The sequence below is a fragment of the Homo sapiens genome, chromosome 1, assembly GCF_000001405.40.
Source record: "Homo sapiens chromosome 1, GRCh38.p14 Primary Assembly".
NCBI lineage: Eukaryota > Metazoa > Chordata > Mammalia > Primates > Hominidae > Homo > Homo sapiens.
Window position 1 is genome coordinate 11,863,203 of NC_000001.11, and position 26,807 is coordinate 11,890,009.

General features: G+C 52.3%; 1 pseudogene, besides 5 other annotated features; it reads left to right on the forward strand.

Annotated features, from left to right (window-relative positions):
- Positions 4,091 to 4,240: a silencer, noted in NCBI's record as "fragment chr1:11927350-11927499 (GRCh37/hg19 assembly coordinates)". NCBI's record gives its function as "represses an EF-1alpha promoter that drives an FKBP-Casp9 reporter gene in an ReSE screen in K562 erythroleukemia cells {active_cell/tissue: K562}" and the evidence as "EXISTENCE:reporter gene assay evidence [ECO:0000049][PMID:32094911]".
- Positions 14,567 to 17,556, forward strand: SBF1P2 (SBF1 pseudogene 2; annotated as a pseudogene).
- Positions 16,986 to 17,486: an enhancer, noted in NCBI's record as "H3K4me1 hESC enhancer chr1:11940245-11940745 (GRCh37/hg19 assembly coordinates)". NCBI's record gives its function as "activates a minimal SCP1, AML or CMV promoter by ChIP-STARR-seq in naive H9 embryonic stem cells {active_cell/tissue: H9 hESC(naive)}" and the evidence as "EXISTENCE:reporter gene assay evidence [ECO:0000049][PMID:30033119]".
- Positions 19,416 to 20,045: an enhancer, noted in NCBI's record as "H3K27ac-H3K4me1 hESC enhancer chr1:11942675-11943304 (GRCh37/hg19 assembly coordinates)". NCBI's record gives its function as "activates a minimal SCP1, AML or CMV promoter by ChIP-STARR-seq in primed H9 embryonic stem cells {active_cell/tissue: H9 hESC(primed)}" and the evidence as "EXISTENCE:reporter gene assay evidence [ECO:0000049][PMID:30033119]".
- Positions 20,046 to 20,673: an enhancer, noted in NCBI's record as "H3K27ac-H3K4me1 hESC enhancer chr1:11943305-11943932 (GRCh37/hg19 assembly coordinates)". NCBI's record gives its function as "activates a minimal SCP1, AML or CMV promoter by ChIP-STARR-seq in naive and primed H9 embryonic stem cells {active_cell/tissue: H9 hESC(naive and primed)}" and the evidence as "EXISTENCE:reporter gene assay evidence [ECO:0000049][PMID:30033119]".
- Positions 22,269 to 26,231: an enhancer, noted in NCBI's record as "VISTA enhancer hs2125". NCBI's record gives its function as "enhancer in: heart[6/7]" and the evidence as "EXISTENCE:transgenic organism evidence [ECO:0001131][PMID:17130149]".

The following is a 26,807-nucleotide window of genomic DNA, read 5'->3' on the forward strand; positions in this document are numbered from 1 at the left end:
CGATCTCAGCTCACTGCAACCTCCGCCTCCTGGGTTCAAGTGATTCTCCTGTCTCAGCCTCCTGAGTAGCTGGGACTAGAGGCACGTGCCACCACACCCAACTAATTTTTTATTTTTAGTAGAGATGGGGTTTCACCATGTTGGTCAGGCTGGTCTCGAACTCCTGACCTCAGGTGATCCGCCTGCCTCTGCCCCCCAAATTGCTGGGATTACAGATGTGAGTCACCGTGCCCGGCCTGTTCCGAAGATTCTGCTCGGTTTGCTTCTCTGTTCTAGGATGGTTTCCCTTTGTGTAGAGTGAAAGGATTAGACTAAGGTTTCTGCCAGGCACAAAAGCCCTAGTTGTAATAAGTCAACTCACCCTATATATATACTATACACATTTTTTTTTGAGACAGAGTCTCACTCTGTCACCCAGGCTGGAGTGCAGTGGGGCTACCTTGGCTCACTGCAGCCTTGACTCCCCCAGGCTAAAGCAATTCTCCTGCCTCAGCCCCCTGAGTAGCTGAGACTACAGGCATGCACCACCACACCTGGCTAACTTTTAGAAATTTTTCATATTTTTTGTAGAGACAGGGTTTCGCCATGTTGCCTGGGCTGGTCTTGAATTCCTAAGCTCAAGTGATCCTCCTGCCTTGGCCTCCCAAAGTGCTGTGATTACTGCTGTGAGCCACCACGCCTGGCCAGCTTACCAGCTTACCCCATTTTATAGGTGAGATTGCTAGCTCCCACTTCCCCAGTAGTGCCTCTGTCTTCTGTGACCCTTAGACTTCCTCCAAAAGCCAGAAACCACCTGCATAGGGCCATCAGGCCCTTCACAGCTGTGGCAGACATGCAGGTGTGCACACAAGTGTGTGTGTGTGTGTGTGTGTGTGTGTGTGTGTGTGTGTTAGGGGGTGCTTTGGAAACCAGCATGGGTCTGTAGACCTTCTCTGCTCTTGAAGTAAATCTCTAGACATGGTTAACAGAGGGAGGGCTGTGCTTGGCAGCTTGAAAGAAAATAATTACTAATTCCCACCACTCAGTCTGGTGTGGTGGTGCACACCTGTAATCCCAGCACTTTGGAAGGCCCAGGTGGGAGGATTGCTTGAACCCAGAAGTTGAAAGCCAGCCTGGGCAACATCGTGAGACCCTGCCTCTACAAAAAAAAAAAAAAGAAAGAAAGAAATTAATTAAATAAAATAAAAAATAGCCGGGTATGGTGGTGTCACCTATAGTCCTAGCTACTTGGAAGGCTGAAACGGGAGGATCACCTGAGCCCAGGAGCCCAGGATCACCCCACTACACTCCAGCCTGGGCGACAGAGTGAGACCTTGTCTTCAACAATAACAACAATAACAACAATAACAAAACCAAAAACTTCCAACCCTCCATGTCCAGCCTCACCAGCAATTTCTGAGCATAGAAATTACTGTGTGTTGCCAGGTAATATTCTCTCTCTCTCTCTCTGTCTCCCCCGCCCCCCACTTCCTCCCTCCCTCCCTCCCCTTGCTTAGGAACAAGGGACTCTGAAAGGGTCACCTTATCCTTCCTACCACCTCCAGAAAGAACTGTGCTTCACCCATATTTTCCCCATCGCTGGCATTCTGGTGACAGCATTCAAGTCCCTGGATCCAGCAATGCCTGATGTCAATCTACTTTGGACTTTGCAGTTATGTGAGCCAATAAATCTGCCCCTTCGACCTCTTTTTCCCCAAAGCAACTTAATTAGATTTCTGTCACTTCCATTCTAAAGATTCTTAACTGACAGTCTCCAAAAGAAACTGCCTGCCTTTTTCTTAGAAATGTTTGAAAACAAGATATTTCAGCCCTCGATAACAGCCGGAGTCTCAGAGTCTTTGCAGACAAATGTCCTGAACATTGTCTGATTTAACTCTCTCCTTTTGTAATGTGAGTTAGTCCCCTTTGGTCAGACAAAAAGCAGAAAATGTGTTCAACAACCTTAAGGAGCTGGAGAGAAAAATCAGAAGCCTGGCTTTCTTCATGTCTCTCAACAGCAGGGGCATGGCTCAGCAGGTGTGAGGCTGCCGGAGAAAGGATAAGAGGTCCGTCCCAGAATCTCGCCCTATCACCCAGGCTGGAGTGCAGTGGTGCAATCTCGGCTCACTGCAACAAACCTCCACCTCCCGGGTTCAACAGAGTCTCATCCTCAGCCTCCTGAGTAGCTGGGATTACAGGCGTGTGCCACCACACCCAGCTAATTTTTGTATTTTTAGTAGAGACAGGGTTTTGCCATATTGGCGAGGCTGGTCTCAAACTCCCGGCCTCAAGTGATCCGCCTGCCTCAGCCTCCCAAAGTGCTGGGATTACAGGTGTGAGCCACTGCACCCAGCTGAAAGCATGGTCTTAAAATGAATGATGATGATGGGGAGTATTGGAGGAAAGGGGTGGGGGCATCTTCTTCCTCGTTAGTTTCTACAGGATCCATAATTTCCTCCTGTAGTTGTTTGCCAGGGCTGCAGTAACAAAGAACCACAGACAGGGGGCTTGAACAACAGATGTGTACTGTCTATCAGTTCTGAGGACTGGGAGTCCAAGATCAAGGTGTGGGTGGGGCTGGTTCTCCTGAGGCCTCTTTCTTTGGCTGCAGATGCCGTCTCTTCCTGTGTCCTCCCATGGTCTCCCTCTGTACATATCTGTGTCCTAACCTCCTCTTTTTTTTTTTTTTTCTGGATACAGAGTTTCACTCTTGTCACCCAGGCTGGAGTGCAATGGCGCAATCTCGGCTCACTGCAACCTTCACCTCCCGGGTTCAAGCGATTCTCCTGCCTCAGCCTCCTGAGTAGCTGAGATCACAGGCGTGCACCACTACGCCCGGCTAATTTTTGTATTTTTAGTAGGGATAGGGTTTCTCCATGTTGGTCAGGCTGGTCTCAAACTCCCGACCTCAGGTGATCCACCCACCTCGGCCTCCCAAAGTGCTGGGATTACAGGCACGAGCCACTGTGCCTGGCCTCCTCTTCTTATAAGAACACCAGTCATATTGGATTAGGGCCCACCCTAATGACCACATTTCAAAGTATAGGTTGGTGCAAAAGTCATTGTGGTTTTGGCCATGAAACGTAATGGCAAACTGCAATGATTTTTGAACGAACCTGATAATTACCCCTTTAAAGGCCCTGTCTTCAAATATAGTCACATTCTGAGATACTGAGGTTAACTTTTTTTGAGATAGGATCTCACTCTGTTGCCCAGGCCGGAGGACAGTGGTGCAATCATGGTCCACTGCAGCCTTGACCTCCCAGGCTCAAGCAATCCTTCCACCTCAGCCTCCTGAGCCGCTGGACTACAGGCACACACCACCACGTCCAGCCAATTTTTAGATTTTTTGTAGAGACAGGGTCTCCCTATGTTGCCCAGGCTGGTCTCGAACTCCTGGGCTCAATCGTTCTTCTTGCCTCTGCCTCACAAAGTGCTAGAATTACAGGCGTGAGACACCACACCCAGCCAGATTTCAACATACGAATTTGGGGGGACACAGTTCAGTTTGGTTCATTACACCCCCTTACTCCCTCATTTCTGTTCATTGCCACATCTCCAAGGGCCACCACCACTCTCTATTGTTCTGATGATTTTCAATGTCCAACAAACCGCCCCAAACTTAGTGGCTTAAAAGAACAATCACTTGATTGTATCTCGTGGTCCTAGGGGTGGATGAGGCTCAGCTGCATGACTGTCACTTGGGGTCTTTCATGTGGTTGTAGTCAGATGGCGGCTGAGTCAGGAGTCACCTGAAGATTTCATCCATGCCTCTTACCTGGGCTGCAATGGCGAGGACAGATGGAGGCTGGTCCATTGTGTCTCTCTCCATGCAGCCTCCTTGTGTGGCCAGCCTGAATTCCTCAGTGGTGATGGCCTTCCCCACAGCAAGTGGTCCAAAGTGGAAGCTGCCAGTCCTCTTCTAGGAACTGGCCCGGTGTCTCCTTCATCATTTTCTATTGGTTAAAACAGTCACAGGTGGCCAGACGCGGTGGCTCATGCCTGTAATCCCAGCACTTTGGGAGGCTGAGATGGCCAGATCACCTGAGGTCGGGAGTTCAAGACCAGCCTGAACAACATAGAGAAACCCCATCTCTACTAAAAATACAAAATTAGCTGGGCGTGATGGTGCATGACTGTAATCCCAGCTACTTGGGAGGCTGAGGCAGGAGAATCGCTTGAACCTGGGAGGCGGAGGTTGTGATGAGCCAAGATCGCACCATTGCACTCCAGCCTGGGCAACAAGAGCAAAACTCCATCTCAAAAAAACCAAACCAAACCAAAAAAAAAAAAAAAACAGTCCCGGGGGCCGGGCACCATGGCTCATACCTATAGTCCCAGCACTTTGGGAAACCAAGGCAGGAGGATTGCTTGAGCCCAGGAGTTTGAGATCACCCTGGCCAGCATAGCCAGACACGATCTCCACTAAAAATAAAAACAAAAATATTAGCTGGTCATGGTGACCTGCGCCTGTAATCCCAGCTACTTGCAAGGCTGAGGTGGGAGGATCACCGGCACTCCAGCCTGGGCGACAGAGTGAGATCCCATAACAAAACAAAACAAAAATAGTCACAGGGAAACCCATACATAAGAGAGTAGAGGAATGGATTCTGCCTCTCAGTGGGGAACTACATGCATCTATAGGAAAGGAGAGAATTGGTGGCCACCATCCTGAAGATGAACGACCTCATCCATTAATCAGATTCTCTCCCAGAGGCAATGCGTTATTGAGGCTGCTGGCTTTGAGCCATTCACTTCCAAGCTTCTTTCTTGTAGCTGGCGCTGTGAGCCACTGAGTCCCAAACCTGTGTTTGGTATCTGGACGCTCAGTGCTGGCCTTTCTCTTTCTGAAGATGACTCTGTGTGTACTTTGTTTATTAACTCTGCTCCCTTCTCCCTCCTCTTGATACTGTGCCTTTTTTTTTCTCTCTTTCTTTCTTTTTTTTTTTTTTTTTTTTTTGACACAGGGTCTTGCTGTGTCCCCCAGGCTGGAGGGCAGTGGATCAATCATCTGCACACTGCAGCCTCCACTTCTTGGCCTCAAGTGATTCTCCCACCTCAGCCTCCCAAGTAGCTGGGACCACAGGCCTGTGCCACCACACCCAGCTAATTTTTTGGTATTTTTTGTAGTGACAGGGTTTCACCAGGTTGCCCAGGCTGGTCTCGAACTCCTGAACTCAAGCGATCCTCCCATCTCAGCCTCCCAAACTGCTGGGATTACAGGCGTAAGCCCCCACACCCGGCCTGCGTTGAGTCTTCTAAGCCTCCCTTGCCCTGTTGACCCTGCTCAATACCTACAGTGGCAGCAGGAGGTCTGCTGGAATTTGGTGGCTTTTTTCTACTTGCGGGTTATCTGAAGTTTATTGTGTTCTGTCTCCTAGTAATGTTGAAGGATTGAGTCATGGCTTCATTTGCATTCTTTGTTGACCTTATACATTTAGGTGAGGATGCATTCAAAGATTTTAACTCAGATGGCCACCATTAACCTTGCTAGTACACTTTAGCTGTATTAGCTCAGCCTTCAAAGCATCCCTAGGATAAATTATTACCCCCATTAAATGGATGAATATCCTTGATAGATGGTGGTTGCCTTTCGTGCTGGGAATCTTTAGTCGCCCGTGCAGACCCCTCTCCATCCTTCCCTCCCCTGTTCAACGCTCATGAGGCTGACTTTTATGGCTTATGTTGGATTCAATGAATGGTGGTGAGCGGCAGAATATCAGCAGGAGAAAGAGAAGAGAGGGAGTCCAGGGTGTTTTTTTCTGCCAGCTCTGACTTGCCGTGCCACCTAGCGTTGGCACCTACCACTTCCCCAGCTCTCTCTGTGTCAGGATCCTGCAGACTTAAGGGTGGCAATCTGGCTGCTGCTGTTTTCCCTGGGCACAATTTCTAGTGGTTTCTGTATCTATCTGCATTTATTTATTTTTATTTTTCATATTTTTTTAGACAGGGTCTCACTCTGTCACCCAGCTTGGAATGCAGTGGTGTGATCATGGCTCATTGCAGCCTCCAACTTCCTGGGCTCAGGTGATCCTCCTGCCTCAGCCTCTCAAGTAGTTGAATCCACAGGCATGCACCACCATACCTCACTGATTTTTTATTTTTTTTAGAGATGGGGTCTCACTGTGTTGCCCAGGCTGGTCTCAAACTCCCGGACTCAAGGGATCCTCCCATCTCAGCCTCCCAAAGTGCTAGGATAGCAGGCATGAGCTACTTCACCTGGCCTCTGAATGCCTTTATACACTATGCCTATATCTTTGTAAAGTCTTTATTAACGTTTCTTGAATTGTCCTAATGTGAGTGTGCTATTGGTTTTCGGCTAGGACCCTCACTGATACCTTTATCATCATCACCATCATCATGGCCATCAACATGACCTCCACCACATGTTTTCGAGCTTGAGCTTGGTGGCTGTTCCTCCCAGTTACACCTGCTGTGCCTGCCGTTTGGACAATTCTCATAGTTTGTCGGGGCAGGGCTGGTTGAGCTAAGCCCTCTCTTTGGGTTGGGGAGAAGGGAGCATCCCAGGCCTGAAAATGGGGCAGGAGGAAGCCAGGGTGGTAACAGGATGGCTCTGCTAGGGACTTATTTTAAGGTAGCTCTTGGGGGCCTGTCAACCACCCACAGCCGCTATCTCCCACAAGGCTCCCAGGACATACAGTCTGGGGGAGTGAGGGTGCCTCACACATACCTTTCCACTGAGCTCTCCTTCCCAGCCTGGCTGCTCTGGCCTGCAGCACTGGAGCTGGGCCATCAGGCGCTCACATCTTCTTCCTGCTGGAGGGGCCGGAGTGGGCTCAGAGGCTCTAGATGGCTCTAGATGGCTCTAGATGGCCATGGATCAGGGAGCAGCTGGCCAGCCTCCAGTTCTCCCCAGGACAGAACAGCACCTGTGACCTGTGTCCTGACAGGGAAAGGGAGGGCAGGCAGGGCCACTCAGAGGTGGCACCCAACAAGCTCTCTTTCCCTAGTCGCTGCATTTATCCTTGGAAAGGCCCTAATTCACTCATTCATTCCACCAAGATTTACTGAATGCCTACTCTGCTCTAGATACTGAGGATACAGTAACGAACAAAAGAGATAACATCCCTGTCTTGGGGGAGCTTCTGTTCTAGTGGAGGGGAGATGAACAATAACCCAAATCACTAGAGTATTTTGTGTCTTAGAAGGTGACCATGCTGGCCAGGTGCAGTGGCTCACACCTGTAATCCTAGCACTTTGGGAGACCGAGGCAGTTGGGTCACCTAAAGTCAGGAGTTCGAGACCAGCCTGGCCAACATGGCAAAGCCCCGTCTCTACTAAAAATACAAAAATTAGCTGGGCGTGGTGGTGGGTGCCTGTAATCCCAGCTACTAGGGAGGCTGAGGCAGGAGAATCCTTGAACCTGGGAGGCGGAGGTTGCAGTGAGCCAAGATGGCACCACTGCACTCCAGCCTGGGGGACAGAGTAAGACAAAAAAAGGAGAAGGTGTCCATGCTTGCTAAGGAGGAAAACGAAGCAGAGTGAAGGGAGGGGCTGCTGGGAGTTGGGCTTTTAGCAGGAAGGTCAGGGAAGAGCTCACTATGGAGGTGTGTTGGAACAAAGACTTAAAAGATATTTAAGGGAACAGGCCAGGCTCGGTGGCTCATGCCCGTAATCCCAGCACTTTGGGATCCCGAAGCTGGTGGTTCACTTGAGCCCAGGAGCTCAAGGCCAGCCTGAGCAACATGGTGAAACCCCATCTGTACAAAAAATATAAAACTTAGCTGGGGTGGTGGCATGCCCTATAGTCCCAGCTACTTGGAAGGCTGAGACAGAAAAATCGCTTGAGCCCGAGAGATAGAGGTGGCAGCAGTGAGCCAAGATTGCACCCTTGCACTCCAACCTGGGTGACAAGAGTGAAACCCTGCCTAAAAAAATATATATATATATATATATATATTTAAGGACACAGGCCAGGCACGGTGTCTCATGCCTGTAATCCCAGCACTTTGGGAAGCTAAGGCGGGAGGATCACTTGAGCCCAGCCTGGGTAACATAGCAGTGAGACCCTTATGTCTATAAAAATAAAAGAGAATTTAGAAGATATTTAATGGAACAGTGTTCCAGGGAGGAGGAACAGCCAGTGCAAAGGCCCTGCGTGTGTCTGAAACATACAAGAACCAGAAGGCAGTGTTGGGGAGTGAAGTGAGTGAGGAGAGACACGTAGGAAATGGCTCAGAGAAGCCGTCAGCGTGCGACAAAGCACAGCCTTCCAGGTATGACTCGGAGTCACTTTCCTCCAAGTCAGATGGGAGCCATGGAGTGTGTTGTTGTTGTTTGTTTGTTTGTTTGTTTTTTCGAGATGGAGTCTCGCTCTGTCACCCAGGCTGGAGTGCTGTGGTGTGATCTCGGCTCACTGTAACCTCCGCCTCCTGGGTTCAAGCGATTCTCCTGCCTCAGCCTCCCAAGTAGCTAAGATTACAGGTGCCTGCCACCACGCCCCACTAATTTTTATATTTTTAGTAGAGGCAGGGTTTCATTGTGTCGGCCAGGCTGGTCTTGAATTCCTGACCTCATGATCTGCCCACCTCAGCCCCGCAAAGTCCTGGGATTATAAGCATGAGCCACCGTGCCCGACCAGCCATGGAGTGTATTGAGCCAAGGAGAAATATGATCTGACTTTGATTAAGTGTGGCCATGCCTGTCTGGAGAGCTGGCCCCAATATCTGGCTTCTTCTGATTCTTTCCATCCCCTTCAGAGGTCTGCGTCCCAGCCCCAAGGGACTCCTCCTCCAAGCTTCTAAGTTTTAACAACTTCAGCCTCTTTCCTTCGTTGCCCTTGTCCAAGGACGGTAGCTACTTCCTGCAGTTTCTCTGTCCGTGACACTTAGTGTTTTCTCTTTGCCTTTTCAAGTTTTCAATATCTAGTTAACACTTTTATATACTAAGTTCTCTCTGTTAGAATAACTGGCATGGTTCCTGTCTCCAAGTGGACCCTGGCTGCACTCTCAATGGTAGACATCCAACTGTGAATAAGACTTTGTCTCTAGGTCTCCCTCTGTCACCCAGGCTGGAGTGCAGTGGCGTGATCATGGCTCACCGCAGCCTCAAACCCCTGGGCTTATGCCATTCTCCCACCTCAGCCTCCCTAGCAGCTGGGACTACAGGTAGGTGCCACCACGTCTAGCTAATTTCCGTTTTGTTTTTTTTTTTTGGTGGGGGGGTTGGGGGCAGGTAGAGATGGGGTCTCACTATATTGCTCAGGCTAGTCTCAAACTCCTGGCCTCAAATGATCCTCCCACCCCAGCCTCCCAAAGTGCTGGGATTACAGGTGTGAGCCATTGTGCCAGCCTCAAGCAATGATCTTGAAGTTGGTTGCAAGGAAAATGCCTTCCCTGCATTTGTTTCCCAGGGCTGCTATAACAAATGGCCACCAACTCGGCAGCTTCAAACAACAGAAAAGCATCTTTCATCATTCGGGAAGTCAGAAATCCAAAATCAAGATGCTGTCCAGGCCGAGCTGCTTCTGGGGCTATAGGGGAGATCTTTCCCGGCCCCTCTAGCTCCTGACAGCTTCAGGCGTTCCTCAGCTCATACATGCACCACTCCCATCTCTGACTCTGTCCTCACATGACCTTCTCTGCATCTCTGTGTCTCAAATGTCTCTCTCCCTTTCTTTTATAAGGACCCCTGTCACTGGGCTTAGGACCCACCCTATATCTAGGATGATCTCTTCTCGAGATCTTTAATTTCATGACGTCTGCAATGACCTTTGTTCCAAATAAGATCACACTCACAAGTTCCAGGAGCTGGGAAATGAATATATCTTTTTGGAAGCCACCTTTCAGTACATTCTTCGGTGGCTTGTCTGTTTCCCCCTCTGGGATGGAAGCTGCACAGGATATGTACTTGGAATGGCTGGTGCAGGACTGGACATATGGAAGGAGCCTCACCAAAGGTGTGTTGCCTGGCCAATGTTTACTATGTTTACATATTTTGCATTTACATGTTTTAATCCATATTTTAAAAATCTATGTACAGGTTTTTTTTGCTTTGTGTTTTTTGAGACAGGGTCTTGCTCTGTCACCCAGGCTGGAGTGCAGTGGCGTGATCACAGCTCACTGCAGCCTTGACCTCCTGGGCTCAAGTGATCCTCCCCGCTCAGGCTCCCAAGTAGCTGGGACTACAGGCAAACACCACCACACCTGGCTAATCTGGGGGGGATTTTTTTTTGTTTCTTTTTTTTTTTTTTTTTTTTGTAGAGATGGGATTTCACCATGTTGCCCAGGCTGGTCTCAAACTCCTGAGCTCAAGTAATCCTCCCACCTTTGCCTCCCAAAGGGTTGGGATTACCGGCGTGAGCCCCGGTGCCTGGCCTGTACTGAGTCCTTTAAGCCTCCCTTGACCTGTTGACCCTGCTCATGACCTATAGAGGCAGTGGAGGTCTGCTGGTATTTGGTGGTTTTTTTCTACCTGCAGATTATTTGAAGTTTGTTGGGTTCTGTCTCCTAGTAATGTTGAAGGAGTGAGTCATGGCTTCATTTGCATTCTTTGTTGAGTTTTTACATTTAAGTGAGGATGTGTGCAAAGATTTGAACTCAGGTGGGTGCCATTAACCTTGATAGTACACTTCAGCTATATTAACTCAGCCTTAGCAACAGCTCTAGGATAAATTATTACCCCCGTTAGATGGATGAATATCCTTGATAGATAGCAGTTGCCTTTCATGCTGGGAATCTTTAGTCGCCCCTGCAGACCCCTCTCCATCCTTCCCTCCCCTGCTCAGCACTTGTGAGGCTGCCTTTTATAGCTTATATTGGATCCAATGATTGTTAGGGGCAGCAAAATATCAGCAGGAGAAAGAGAAGAGAGGAAGCTCAGGGTGTTTTTTTCTGCCACACTGCAGTCCCCGAGGAGGGCCACACAGCGCACGTCCCAGCCGGGCATTGTTAACTTAAACTATGGTGTGAACGCCGCTGCCTCTCACTCATGGGTCACTGTGAACAGCAAACACATGGCACCTTGGATCCTGCAGACACGCTGGCAGTGGAGAAAGGGAGGGAGCCAGCCACGCCTGGGGGTCACTCTCATGAATGGCGTAGAGTGGGGGCCACACGTGAGGACAGGAAGCATGAATGGCCGTCCCAGAACATCCACATGAGGGTTATTAATAGAGCCGTCCCAGGAGAGGACGCACTGTGCTTGGGAGGGACAACCGAGGAACAGAGCCGGCTGGACCGTAAGAAGTCCTGTGACATGTGGGAAATGAGGGAGGCGCTGGCAGGCTACCAAAGGCCCTCTGGCTGCCTCTCCTCCCTGACCTTACTCCCCAGTGAAGGTGGCCACTGCCACTCGGGCTCTGCGTTCTAGGCCCTCTGAGGCTGGCTGCATCCTCCTGGGTGTGCTTGATGACCCAGGAGCCATGTCCCTCCATTTAAAGGGCTGTGCGGAGCTTGAGGGGCTGGGAACATAGGCAGGCCATGACTGGGAAATCAGACAGGGCCATTGTGAGTTGAATCATGTCCCCAAAATTCATGTCCACCCAGAACCTCAGTGTGTGACCTTGTTTGGAAAAGAGATCTGTGCAGATGTCATTTGTTAGGATGAGATCATACTGGATTAGGGTAGGTCCTGGTCCAATACGGCTGATGTCCTTGTAAGAAGAGGAGAGATGCAGACACAGACAGGCAGGGGGGAGGCTGAGTAAAAGCCGAGGCAGAGGCTGCAGTGATGCATGTACAAGCCAAGGAACACCCCTGATTCCCAGCAACCCTGGAGGCTGGGAGAGGCAAGGACGGCCCCTCCCTAGAGTCCTCAGAGAAGGCATGGCCCGGTCCACGGTCACAGCCTGTTGGCCTCTGGAACCGTAAGGAGACCATTTCTGTTGTTTGAAGCCACCCACTTTGCGGTGCTTTCTTAGGACAGCCACAGTAAACGAACCCAGGCATCTTGTATTTGCAAAGGGTGTTTGCTGTGGGCCTCACTGCATCCTTAGTTTTGCTTTAGGTCTTTGGGAGACTTGGCCTGTCCTGGGGCAGCCCCATGCAGCGGTGATGCAGAAGTCAGGACCTGCATTCGGCCTGCCTGGGTTCGAATGTCAGTCCGGCCTCCTCCTAGTGGCGGCAGATTGAATCTCCAAAGATGGCCACGAGCTGCCCCACCCCATGTGCTCCCACCATGGGACACCGACACTCCTCCCATCGGAAGCAGAGTCCACGTTCCCTCCTCTTGAATCTGGACAGGCCTGGGCCTGTGGCAGAAGTGACGCTCTGTGACTTCTCAGACTAGGTTATAGCATTGAAGTAGCTTCCACTTTCCTCACCAGAGCACTTGCCTGGGAGCCCTGGGGCAACCATGGTGTGAGGAAGCCCAAAGCCACCGCTGGAGAAGCCCTGAGACTCCATGAAGAGAAATGCCTGGCCAGTCCCCTCCTGTTCCGACTCCAGCCACTGTCTGACTGCAGTAGCATGAAAGACCCTGAGACAGAGCCACACAAAATCCCAAATTCTGGCCAGTCGCAGCAGCTCACGCTTGTAATCCCAGCACTTTGGGAGGCCAAGCGGGCATATCACTTGAGGTCAGGAGTTTGAGACCAGCCTGGTCAACATGGCAAAACCCCATCTCTACTAAAAATACAAAAAATTAGCCGAGTATGGTGGTGGGCACCTGTAGTCCCAGCTACTGGGGAGGCTGAGGCAGGAGAATTGTTTGATCCTGGGGAGGCAGAGGTTGCAGTGACCCGAGATCGCGCCACTGCACTCCAGCCTGGGTGATAGGACAAAACTCCGTCTTTAAAAAAAAAAAAAAAATCCCAAATTCCTGATCCATGGAAATCAAGAGCGGGAATAAAATGATTGTTGTTTTAAGCCACCAAGTAATTTGGGGCTAATTTGTTACATAGCAACAGAAAGTGAATACAGGGGAGTACCATGATTTCTGTTGTATAAATGAGGAAAGTGAGGCATCCGTTCATCCATTCAACTATTTATTGAGTGCTTGCTATATGCCAAGCACTGTCTGAGCACTGGGATCACAGCAGAAACAAGGAAAACAGGACCCCTCATTTATGGAGCACAAGATACAGACAGGCTTAGTAATGGCTGAACTTTAATCTAATCTAATCTAATCTTCAATTCTGTGATCCTAACGCCCAGGGCTTTCTCACCCTACAAAGAAAGTCCTCTGAGGTTGAATTCTTGTCTCTCACCCCAGCTTCTTCCTCCAGTGGAGGTGAGAGAGAGAACTGAACCCTTCCCGTTGGAAGTTCAGCTCCATTCCCGGGGTGAAGAAGGCAGACAGTGTTTTCTGCCCCACGTTACCCTATTGTTGGGGGTAGCATCAGGCACTTGGGCTCCCAGAGGAAGCTTTGAGGAGGGAGGAGAGTGGCGGGAATGTCCCAGGGTGTGAGCACTTGGGGAATAAAGCCAACCAAGAGCTTTTGCCTCGCTCCCCAGCACCTACTGTGCTTATCTTAATGGGATCACTTTTCTAGCATGATGTGAAGTAGCTTCGGGCAGAACTCCAAACCTTAGAGAGATCATTTGAAAATACCATTTGGGCTGGGCGCAGTGGCTCATGCCCATGATGTCAGCACCTTGGGAGGCCGAGGCAGGTAGATCACTTGAGATCAGGAGTACGAGAGCAGCCGGGCCAACATGATGAAATCCCATCTCTACTAAAAATACAAAAATTAGCCAGGTGTGGTGGCGCACGCCTGTAGTCCCAGCTACTCAGGAGGCTGAGGCAGGAGAATGGCTTGAACCCAGGAGGCGGAGGTTGCAGTGAGCTGAAATCGCACCACTGCACTCCAGCCTGGGCAACAGAGCAAAACTCTGTCTCAAATACACACACACACACACACACACACACACACACATATATGCACATATATATGTGCGTGTGTGTTCATGTATATATGTGTGTGTGTGTTCATGTAATTATGTGTGTGTGTGTGTGTGTGTGTGTGTGTGTGTGTATATATAAAATTGTTCATCATAAGTGACAGATGACTCCTGTTCTCGGGAGCCCATCAGCCATCAGTCTGTTTTTTTGTCTCTGACTGTGGGGTGAGGGTCATATTCAAGCCATTTATTCAAGAACCACGCGACTCCCTGCTTGACTTAGATCCCAGTTCCAGCAGAGCTGTCTGCTGTGCTCTGAGAGCGAGCAGTTCCTTCTGTCTGGGTGAGTTTTTAAGTTCATGCTCACAGGCTGGTCCCCGTCACCAAGACAGGTCCGCTGTTCTCAGCCTCAAAAACAAACAAATGAACAAACAAGAATGAAGAGGACTATTTATTTATTTATTTATTTCAGAGACAGCATTTTGCTCTGTCACCCAGGCTAGAGGGCAGTGGCATGATCACAGCTCACTGCAGCCTCAAACTCCTGGGCTCAAGTGATCCTCCCACCTCAGCCTCCTGAGTTGCCAGGACTACAGGCGTGCAACACCACAGCCCAGCTAACTTTTTTTTTTTTTGTAGAAGTGGGGGTCTCCCTATGTTGCCCAGGCTGGTCTTGACCTCCCGGGCTCAAGGGATCCTCCTGCCTCAGCCTCCCAATGTGCTGGGATAACAGGCATGAGCCACTGCACCCGGCCAAAGGGAGCTTTAAAAAGCATCCAGAGCAACTTCCGCAGGCAGCTGCATAAGCTGCGGTACCGCCGGACGTCAGAGCCACCTTGGCGTTCACCCTGGGCTCTGCCTATACACTTGGCTGGCCACCCCGAGTCACCAAGGACAAGGGTCCTTCCCTCAGAACCCTGTCCCACAACCTGGTCAAAAACTCCAAGAAGACCATCAGGCACCAGCATGTCACTCTTAAGAAGTACAACCCCCCCAAGCTGGCAGCACCGGGGCCAGCTGCCCCCTGAAGACCAAGGGGACGAGATCTCAGTGTCAGAGGAGCTGGAGCCCAGCACGCTGACCCCGGCCTCAGCTCTGAAGCCCTCAGACGGCATGACCATCAGCAGCCTGGTGGAAGAGGCTTGCTGCCGCAACTAGCAGTACCTCGGGCTGGGCACCCTGAGCAGCAGCCTGAGCTGGGCCAAAGCTCTTCCGCATTTCTCTGGACAACCGCATGTTGACCACCAACTGCTGCAGCTACCCGGGGCTGCTGATCGTGCCCCAGGGTGTCCAGGACAATGCCCTGCAGTGGGTGTCCCACTGCTACTACCAGAACTGCTTCCCCGTAATCTGCTGGTGCAGCGGGTGGTCCAAGGCAGTGCTGCTGCGCTCTGGGGCCTGCAGGGCAGAGGTGTCCTCGGCCTCTTCAAGGCCCAGAACGCACCTTCTCCAGGCCAGTCCCAGGTGGACTCGAGTAGCCTGGAGCAGGAGAAGTACCTGCAGGCTGTGGTCAGTTCCATGCCCCACTATGCCGACGCGTCGGGACGCAACATGCTTACCGGCTTCTCCTCAGCCCACATGGGCAGTCACATTCCCAGCCCCAGAGCCAGGGTCATCACACTGTCCAACCCCATGGCGCCCTTGCCCTCCAGATGGACTGCACCCCGAAGTAAGTGGGGCAGTGTCCAGACCAGCGGGCGCAGCAGTGGGCTTGGTGCCAATATGGGCTCCTGGTTAGTTGGCAGAGACGTGCTGGCCCCACCCCAGGCAACAGGGCCCCCTCGCCCACCCGGGCTTCCTGCGGCTGCAGCGAGTAGCCCTCTACATCCTCGGGAACAAAGCCCAGCTCAAGGGTGTGCGGCCAGACTCCCTGCAGCAGTGGGAGCTGGTGCCCATTGAGGTATTCGAGGAACAGCAGGTGAAGGCCAACTTCAAGAAGCTGCTGAAGGCATGTGTCCCGGGCTGCCCCGCTGCTGAGCCCAGCCCAGCCTCCTTCCTGTGCTTGCTGGAGGACTCGGAGCGGCTGACCCCAATCCACAAGCTGCTGCAGGTGCCAGTGCTGGTGGTGGAGCCCCTGGATTCAGACTCCTCTGTGCTGGTGGGCCTGGAGGATGGCTGGGACATCACCTCCCAGGTGGTATCCTTGGTGCAGCTGCTCTCAGACCCCTTCTATTGCACGCTGGAGAGCTTCCGCCTGCCAGTGGAGAAGAAGTGGTTGTCCTTCAGTCATCCCTTCAGCCACCGTGGAGCCCACACCCTGGCTGGGCAGAGCAGCGGCTTCACACCTGCCTTCCTGTAGTTCCTGGACTGTGTAACACCAGGTCCATCTGCAGTTCTCCATGGAGTTTGAGTTCAGCCAGTTCTACCTCAGGTTCCTCGGCTGCCACCATATGTCCCGCCGTTCCGGACCTTCCTACTTGACTCTGACCCTGAGAGCATTGAGCTGGGGCTGCTGTATGAGGAGAAGGGGGAACGCAGGGGCCAGCTGCTGTGCAGGTCTTTGTGGGAGTGTGTGGACCGGCTGAGCAAGAGGACGCCCATGTTCTACAATTACATGCATGCACCCGAGGACACAGAGCTCCCGCAGCCCTACAGCAACGTGTCCAACCTGAAGGTGTGGGATTTCTACACTGAGGAGATACTGGCCAAGGGCCCTCCCTATGACTGGGAACTGGCCCAGGGGCCCCCTGGGCCCCTGGAGGAAGAACGGTCTGACGGAGGTGCTCCCCAGTGCAGGCACCGCGTGGCGTGGCCCTGCTACGACAGCTGCCCCTGACCCCAGCCTGATGCTATCTCACTTCTGCTGGAGGAGCTGCAGAGGCTGGAGACAGAGCTGGGCTAATGCCCTCAGTGATGGAAGGACACCTGGGACCAGGTGAAGGCTGCACAGCGCCTGGAAGGCTGGCCAGACGGAAGTGGCACCCCTAGCTCCCTTCTAGTGTCCACTGCACCCCACCACCACCGTTCCTGGGTGTGTGACTGCCGGAGGGGCCCGTGGGCTCCACCCTGAGCCTCAGCCTGGACAGCGACCAGAGTAGTGGCTCGACCGCTTCTGGCTCCTGCCAGGCTGCCCGCCACAGCACCAGCACCCTGTGCAGCCAGTTCCAGAGAGCTGAGAGTGAGAACGGGTCCAACGAGGGCACTCTGTAGAAGAAGGAGGCCTTCATGAAGCCTTGGAAGGCCCGCTGGTTCATGTTGGACAAGACCAGCACCAGCTGTGCTACTGCAACCACTGTGTGGACACAGAGTGCAAGGGTGTCATCGACTGGCGGAGGTGGAGGCTGTGGCAGGGGCACGCCCTAAGACCATGGATGAGAAGGCTTTCTTTGACGTGAAGACAACACTTTGCGTTTACAACATCTGTGCCCAGGATATGCCCTTGGCCCAGCAGTGGGTGGACGGGATCCAGAGCTGCCTGTCAGACACCTGAGCCTCCCGGCCCCGCCCAGCTGCTCTGCTTCCGGTCGTTACTGACCACTAGGGGTGGGCAGGGCTGCCCCAGCCATCTTTACTGCCCCAGCCCTCAACAATATTGAGGCCCTGAGCCCCCAGCACATGGTGCATACAGCCCCTGCCCCATCCCGCCCCGCCCCACCCAGCTGGCCCTAACTTATTTTGGGGTCACAGCTGAGCACTGTCCCTGGAGGTGACCAAGGTACAGCCCGCAATGGGCCTGTAAATAGCCCAGCCCTGTCAGCGTGTGCTGGTCCAGCCAGCCGGCTGCAGGCGAGTTGTTTCTAGAACCAGAGTCTATATAAACAGAGAGCTAATGCCAAAAAAAAATAATAAATACATAAAGAAATCATACAGAGCAAGACAAATCATCCAGAAATCACCTCCAGGGAACTGAAGCACTTATTCCAGGACATTTGACCCTGCAGCCTGGTCCCTCTCTCCCTCCCTCCCGCCTCCATCTTTCCCCCCTTCCATCTTCTGTGTTCAGATAAACACCAAGAGCCTTCAAAGAGCCCCCGGGAAATAACTCAGTTTCTTGGGCACATATCAGCTGCCATGAATGGTTCTACACACTGAAGTCCATTATCTCAGTGACTGCGAGGACTGAATGAGCACAGCCTGGAGCTGAGTCAGTGTTCCATAAAAGTTGGCTCTTATTTTTATTATACTGGACACAGAAAGGCCAGATGCCTTCCCCAAAGCCCCTCCCTGTGGGTGGCAGTGGCCCAGGAAGTCTGGCACTAATGTCAGTGCTGTCACCTGCCACTCTGTCCTCAAGGGCCTCTGGGACATGCTGGGAAGGCAGGCCGTGAGCCAGATGTTGCAGAGCTGGGCCCTGAGACGCTGTCCCTTCAGTGACCTTTCCTGTCCAGGGCCCACAGCGGAAGCTGACATGTGTGCTGCCCCTCCCCTCCGCTCCCCTCCCCTCCCCACCCCATTCTACTCTATGGGCTTTGGTGGGAAAAAAACCAGGGCCCCATCCCCTGAGGCCTAGGCCAGTGCAGACATAGACCTCGAACTCTGCCCAACATGGATGGCCTCTGCCCAGGTGTGGGAGAACAAAGGCAAGGAAAGGCTCAAGGAACGTTCCAGGCATCAGGAAGCCAGGCTTCCCCTTCAGGGCTGTCGAGTGCTCAGGTTTCTATGCCTGTCAGTCACCAACACTTTTGCAGTGGGCAGCTACTATGTGCCAGGCACAAAGGGTAACTGGGCACACCTCTTTTCTTGGAATGGGTCAGAGGTTGTCATCAAGGAGGTGATGTTTAAACTGAGCTCAGGGGAATAAGGAGGAGCCAGGGTTCGGGGAAGAGCATCCCAGCAGAGGACAGAGCCAAAGCCAGCGCTTGAGGAGGCAGGGGTGGAAGGAATGTAGTGGTTTGAGGAGCCCTGGCAGGCTGGTGGGGCTGGAGAGGGAGGGTAGGTGGGCTAATTAATGCCCTCGCAAAGACGTCCACTCCCTAATCCCTGCAACCTGGGAATCTCACCTTATATGGCAATAAACAGACTTTGCAGAGGTGACTAAACTTTTGCAGTGGTGACTAAATTAAGGCTCCGGAGATGGGAAGACCATCCTGGATTATGCAATGGACCCTAAATATGATCACAAGTGTTCTTATTATACAAGAGGGAGGCAGAGGGCGACACCACCACACACAGAAGCAGGGAAGGCAGTGTGACCACGGAGGCAGAGACTGGGGTGATGCGGCCACAAGCCAAGGAACACCTGGAGCCACCAGAGGCCGGCAGAGGCCAGGAAGTATTCCCCTGACAGCCTCCAGAGAGGGCGGCCCTGCCACACCTCGACTTCAGCCCAGGGATACTGATTTTAGACTTCTGGCCTCCGGAGCTATAAGATAATACATCTGTCTTGTTTTACGCCACCGAGTTGTTGGCAATTTGACACAGCAGCCGCAGGAAACTCATACAGACGCAGGAGGAGAGCTTCGAGACGGTTTAGGAAACTCACATGGAGGGCAGCTCGAGGAGAGCTCTGAGACAGCTTAGGAGGCAGCTGGGGAAAGGGGGAAGGGGCTGGATTTTGTTCTTAGTGCTTCTCCATCCCCCTCTCATTCACCTCCTCCTTTCTCCCCTCAAAGCTCCTCAGCCCTTTTAAAATAATTTCACTTGTTGCAGTAAGCAGGTGTCAGTTTTTGTGAAGGTATGAACACGTTTTAAAACCTTGCGGAAGGTCGAGGCTGCAGTGAGCTGTGATCGCACTACTGCACTCCAGCCTAGGCAACAGAGCAAGACCCTGTCTTTAAAAACAAAACAAAACAAACAAAAAGACAAATATATATATATATAAAACTCAGAGACATTTCCTTTAAAAATAAAATAAATAAAATCTCTGGAGGAGAAACAAGCTTCTGGGCCCATCTCCTCCTCCCTCTCCTCCCTGCCATCTCTCCTCTCCTCAAATGTCCCTGCAGTGTGAACCCCGGCCTTGAGGCTGGGAGCAGGGAGGCCAAGAGAGGAAGCTGTACTCCGCCTAGCTCCTGGCTGTCAGCACCCATGGCTGGCAGGATTGCCACAAACTCTGGCGCTCTAAAGGCTGATAAAGCCCCACAGCCTGCACGTCTGGAGCCTGGGCCTCCAGCCCTGATAAGCTGGACCTGTCAGCACCATGGCCACACCTGCTGTAGGCAGTGAGCGCCACCCGCCTCCCCTGGCCACTCCCACTCACGGCTTCCTGTTCCCTGTGCACAGCCAAGCCCTGGCCACCATGCCTAGGCCACCCCTCCCTGGATGAAGAACAAAGTGGAGTGGCCATGGGCAAGCAGATTTGCCCATTACATTTCATCTCTGCATCCCCCCAACCCCATCCCGCTCTTAAGCACCAGCGCTGGGGATCAGAAGACCTGGGAGATTCAGGATAGGGGTGCTGGAGCCCACCAGGCACACAGTTCCCTGAGGAAGTCACATGGGCCGATCACACGCAGAGCATGAAGTGCTGTCAGCAGCTCCAACACATTCCTGGGATTCTCCAGCCCACCCCATGTGGCCCTGAGGGGAGTGTGCAAGTGCATGGGGGCTGAGAGCCTGGGTCATTGTCACGGCCAAGCAGGAAGCAAACTATGAGAGTCTTTGCTCCAGCCGGGATCACCTGTGCCCGCACGTGAGTGGGTACAATGTTCTCCATCCCTCGCCCGGGAAGTCATCGTTCATCAAGCCTGGGCTACTTCCCGTGGTGTGGAAAACCTCCACTCACCACAGCCCACCAAGCGGGCTCCAGGATGGACCCAGTCTGCCGGCTCTGGTAGGAGAGTTAGAAAGGCCTCTTGGAAAAGGTGGGCAGGCAGCCAGGGACAGGCACCCCTAAGAGATCCTCCAGGGCTCTTGCTGGTGAGGGACCCGCTCGCCCTTCTCACCGTCCTGGGCTTAGTTTAGCAAACACCTGTTCACACCTACCATGAACTCACCACTGTTGGACGAAGGCGACCCCCAAATGTCCCTGCCCTCGAGGAATGTGTAGTCAAAACAGAGAAAGACCAAACATGTTTTGTCGGGTTTTTTGCTTTGTATTTTATTAATTACAAAGCCCAGATGTCACCAAGTTTCCCACCAAACCTCAGAAATCAGTGGTAGAAAAATAACAAAGTAAGAAGCCCCAAGCCATATAATATAAACCTGGGGGTTCAGGCTAGAGGGGTGAGGGGCGTGCAGTGGAGGTTTTTTTGTTTGTTTTTGCTTTTTTGTTGTTTGAGACGGAGTCTTGCTCTGTCACCCAGGCTGGAGTGCAGTGGCGCCATCTTGGCTCACTGCAAGCTCTGCCTCCTGGGTTCACACCACTCTCCTGCCTCAGCCTCCCGAGTAGCTGGGACTACAGGCGCCCACCACCACGCCCGGCTAATTTTTCGTATTTTTAGTAGAGACGGGGTTTCACCGTGTTAGCCAGGATGGTCTCGATCTCCTGACCTTGTGATCCACCTGCCTCAGCCTCCCAAAGCACTGGGATTACAGGCGTGAGCCACTGCGCCGGGCCCTTTATTTTATTTTATTTTTTTTGAGAAAAAGTAACTCAAGTTTACTTTTCTCAAAAAGTAGTAGAAATCATGCCAGGCATGGCGGCTCACACCTGTAATCCCAGCACTTTGGGAAACTGAGGCCAGAGGATCGCGTGAGGCCAGGAGTTTGAGACCAGCCTGAGCAACATAGTGAAACCCCATCTCTAATAAAAAGACAAAAAATTAGCCGGACATGGTGGTGTGCACTTGTGGTCCCAGCTATTAGGAGACTGAGGCATGAGAATCGCTTAAACCGGGAGGCAGATGTTGTAGTGAGCTGAGATCATGCCACTGCATTCCAGTCTGGGTGACAGAGTGAGACTCTGTCTCAAAAAAAAAAAAAACAAAAACAAAAAACAAAAAACAAGAAAAACACACCCATATATGTATATACATATGATTCTATATATCCTGTATATATAGAAGAGGACGCACAATTAAAGGTAACTCCCTCCCATCGAACTCCCAGTCCCTCAGCTCCCACCTACTCCCCTCCCAGGCATCGCTGATCAATTTCTTATGCCTCCTTCATGAATTTTCCTCTACAGCACAAGCACATGCAATTTTTTTGCATATTTGTACTACTTAAATTATTAAGTTATTTAATTACTAAATTGTCTTAGAGATAATTCCATATGAACATATTTAGACCTAATAGCATAACCATGTAACATAAATTCCAAACCAGGATGCGTTGGTATGACATGGGTTGTGTTAAAAAGCCCCCCAATGGATGGATGTAAACCAGAACTGCCCCAGACAAATGTGTCTTAGCAGGAGCTGGGAGAGAGCCAGCCAAGCAAAGCTGATGCAGCCCCATTCAACTCAACACAGCTTTTCTGGGTGTGTTTTATTTTTATTTTTAATTTTTAATTTTTTAATTTAAAAAAATAGAAACGGAGTCTTGCCATGCTGCCCAGGCTGATCTCAAACTCCTGGACTCAAGCGATCCTCCCGCCTCGGCCTCCCAAAGTGCTGGGATTACAGGCATGAGCCACCGCACCCGTCTGAGTGTTTAACAAGCCTAAGCATGTGACAGTGGGACCTGGGGTAGGGAGGGTCAGGCTCTGAGCCCCCACAGGCACTGAGCCATCTCTACTCATATCCAGGAGACAGTATGGGGGTTCTGAGGGGAACAACTATGCCAGTTTTTGGGGAAACATGTTCATCATTTTCCTGAGCACTTCCCTCTACCTTTGCTACGGAAACCCCAGCTCACCCTCCGAGCCTGATTCAAGGCCCATCTGCTTGTCGGCTTTGGTCTCGGAGAGGTGCCACGGAGTCAGGCTAAAGAGCAGGGCAGGACAGGGGACCTGCTGGGGCTGACCGCTGAGCCACGGACAGCCCTGTGGGTGAGACCGGTGGACATTGTCCCCAAGCCCCATTCCAGCAGTGCACCCTCCCATGGTGTCATCCTTCTGGCCTCCTTTGGTAGACCAAGTCTCCTTTGCCCAGGTAGCCTGTCTGTGACAGCCACCTCCCTGCATTTCTAGGCCCCCATTGTCCAAGAGTGACCAGGGCACTTCCCTCTTGGTTTCCACCTCAACGAGGGCAACGTGTATCTCTGAGCCCCGGCTTTGTGCCAAGCACTGGAGTTACAACAGCAGGCAGATTCCATGGAGCTGATGTTCTGATGGGGAGCACCAGCACACAGCAAAAACGGTCCTACAAGAACAGATGGCAATAAGCCTGAGCCTAATGTCCTGGCCTGGGCAGGCCTCTCTAGGGAAGGGACATTTCCATTGTCTCACATTACATTGAGTAAGTGGGACTCAGCTGGGCGAGGAGGAGAGGGTGTGAACTTGGTGTGTTGGAAAACAGGAGAGATGGTCACGGGTCTAGGGCTTGGAGTGAGAGCTGGGCAGGGCTGGAATTTGTGGGGCCTTCTGGACGGTGATAAATTCAGACCCCATCCCAGGGCCATGAGCAGTCGCTAAGGGAATTTAAACAGGAGTGTGGGGACAGGATCAAATTTGCCACCCTCCCTCTCCAGGGAAAACACCTTGGGCTAAGAGGAAAGGCAAATGATGAAGCCTTGGACTCCAGGCCGGGGCCCTGAGAGGAGGGAGAGGGGTCGCCTCCATCTCCGAGCAGCGGGACTAAGAGCCCTTTGGCGCCTCACCCCAGGAAGTCGGCTCTGTAAGGACTTCCCCAGCTTCCTCTGAGGCCAGAGGAGGAGACAAAGAAAGAAAGTCTTGGGCTGGGCACAGTGGCTCACACCTGTAATCCCAGTACTTTGGGAGGCCAAGGCAGGCAGATCACTTGGGGTCAGGAGTTCGAGACCAGTCTGGCCAACATGGCGAAACCCCATCTCTACTAAAAAATCCAAAAAATTAGTGGGGTGTGGTGGCGCATGCCTATAATACCAACTACTCAGGAGGCTGAGGCAGAGAATCGCTTGAACCTGGGAGATGGGGGTTACAGTGAGCTGAGATCGTGCCACTGCACTCCAGCCTGGGAGACACAGCAAGACTCTGCCTAAAAAAAAAGAAAAAAAGAAAGTCTTGAGCTTCTCTGTCCCTGGGGGACAGCAGCCTAGGCCCATCTGGGCTGGGGATACCAGGCCCTTTCCTGGTTCATATTTCCCCCCATCCCGCCCTCAGCCTCCGGGAACACCAGCCTCCAAGCTGGCTGCTGCTTCTGCATCCCACCCCATGACGCACATCCAGAATGGAGCCAAAAGCATAAGAAGCCAAAAGGACAGTCAAAAAAGGAAGGCAGCCTGGAAGGGCAGCAGCACCGGGAACATGAGGCTCTGTCCGCTCGCCCTTGCGCTGGCTCAGTGCAGACGGGAAGCGGTTGGAGCCAGTTCCAGCATTCTGCAGGTGGGGCTGGCGGGGGGAGAGGTGCCCATGCCCACCGGCCATTGGGCGGTCCCATGCGCCCTGCAGGCTGACCTCATTGTCCAGAATTGTGAGCGTGCTTCCTGGGGTCACATTCCGTGCTGAAGAGCCCCTCTTCAAGGCCTCGGTTGGCGCCAATGTCTTTTTAGGAACCAAGCCTCTAATTTTAGTGTCCCAGCCTTGACACCTTCTCAAAATAGCTCCCTGTTTTCTCTTGTGTCCCTGGCCCTTCCTTGGAGAAGGTGAACCCCCTGCATCCCCGTGATCTGAGTTGGTGAGCACAGGTCCAAGGCCTTGTATGGGTTTGGGTGTAGGGATCCACGCCCCTGCCATGTGTTTTGTGTGGCAGGACCCAGAGAACTCACCTCTGGGAGGGCAGCTCACAGCACCCACCATGGCAGGGGTCCTGCGAGAGCCCACTCCCAACTCCTCCCTGGGGGTCTGCCATGCTCAGGCGTGGCACAAACGAAAGTGACTCAAATCCAGGTCCCCAACCCCTGGAAATCAAGGCTTCATAGCCGCAGCTCCACCTGTAGGAATCGTGGGTGAGCTGACACCTGCGCCCCGGGAGCTCCTCTCTTCCTTTGGCAGGTTCCATGCTGTTCAGGTACCAATCCTAACAATGGCCTTTCCTGAACATTTCAATGGTGCCAAGTGCATCTCTTGCATAATTTTGTTTAATCCTCTCAGCCATCCTATGCAGTAGGTGCTATAATTGTCCCCAAGGTCATGGAGCTGCCAAGCGATGGAACCGGAATTTGGTGGGTTTTTTGTTTTTGTTTGTTTGTTTTTTGAGATGGGGTCTTGCTCTGTCACCCAGGATGCAGTACAGTGGCACGATCTCTGCTCACTGCAACCTCCGCCTCCCGGGTTCAAGAGATTGATTCTCCTGCCTCAGCCTCCCAAGTAGCTGGGATTACAGGCATGCACCAACACACCTGGCTAATTTTTATATTTTCAGTAGAGATGGAGTTTCACCGCGTTGGCCAGGTTGGTCTCAAACTCCTGACCTCAGGTGATCCATCCGCCTCGGCCTACCAAAGTACTGGGATTACAGGTGTGAGCCACCGTGCCCAGCCTAGAACTGGAAGTCGAACACAGGAAATCGGGCTCCCAGCCCTCGGCCTCATGCTACTCATGGTGCTGCCACATAAACATTCTCCTTGCACCAGCCCTTTCTCCACTGCCTCTGTCACAGTCCCTTCCAGAGTGCTCTGCTCAGATTCTTCTAGGCATCCTAAGCGAGTAGAGCAGAGAGGTTGTGCCGCTTGCCTGAAGTCACACAGCAAACTAGGGGCAGATGAAGACACACAACTCCAGAGGGCTGAGATCCAGGAAGCATTCCTGGAAGGAGGCTAAAGCTTAGCCAAGAGGTGAGCAAAGACTGTGGTCCCAGGCAACAGCCAGGCAGTGTGTCGGGACCTGGCAGGGCTCATCTAGCAGTCTTTTCCCCAACAGATTCGTGTTCTCAGCGGCAGGAAAAGCCCTCTAAAGGTGCCACCAGCTGGCCGAGTGGCAGGTATCCAGGAAGCTTGATTCGACAGCTCCCAGGGACACTGGCCACTAGGACCCATATTTTTCTGGGAAAGAGACACACTGGAAAGGAGAAAAGCCAGGGTGGGTCCTTCCTGGGCCTCCTCCTGCTGCAGTCAGAGCCCAAACCCCACACCCAGGGGCTCCCTGGAGGGACTGTGAGTGGCCAGAGCTCCCTTCAGGGCCCGAGGTCTGGCTCCTCCCTCAGGTTCATGCCCTGCAACCTGAGGGCCTGTCCCATTGATCACGATGGGGTGGGGAGGGGGAAGACAGAGACCGGCTGGTGCAGGTGATGGTGGGGAGACCAGGGCACTGGGCCCCATGGGGCTGGCTCACTCCACTCAGCCAGGGAAGAACACATTAGGGGCTTGGGAAACTCCTTCAAATCCCTAAATTGTCTAGGCTCATCCAAGCAGTTTTCGACTATCAGGACAGGAAAATGCAGTTTTTGTCTAAGTGAGTCACAGCCACTCTTCTGAAAGTGCCAGGTGGGTGGGTACACATGCAGGGCCAGAGGGCGCACCAAGAAGAAGAGAGGGGTCAAGACTCAGCCAGAAGCAGGTGCCCAGCCTTGGAATGACCGGAGACAGTCATCATAACACTGGGCTTCCCACTTAAATTATGCCGAGGGCCGGGCACAGCGGTTCACACCTGTAATCCCAGCACTTTGGGAGGCTGAAGTGGGCAGATCACTTGAGGTCAGGAGTCCAAGACCAGCCTGGCCAACATGGTGAAACCCTATCTCTACTAAAAAAAAAAAAAACGAAAATTAGCCGGGTATGGTGGCACACGACTGTAATCCCAGCTACACGGAAGGCTGAGGCATGAGAATCGCTTGAACCCAGGGGACGGAGGTTGCAATGAGCCGAGATCATGTCATTGCACTCCAGCCTGGGTGACAGAGCTAGACTCTGTCTCAAAGAAAAATAAATAAATAAAGAAAGAAAGAAAGAAAGAAAGAAAGCTGGGGTTGCCAACCCAAACACCTACAGGGGCCGGGTGGTTGGTGTAATGAAATAATGAATGAAGCCAGCCAGGTGACAAATTGTGGGGAAAAGAAAGAGAGATCATATTGTTAGTGTGTCTATGCAGAGACAGGAAGACATAAGAAACTCCATTTTGATCTGTACTAAGAAAAATTGTTCTGCTTTGAGATGCTGTTAATCTGTAACTCTTGTCCCAACCCTATG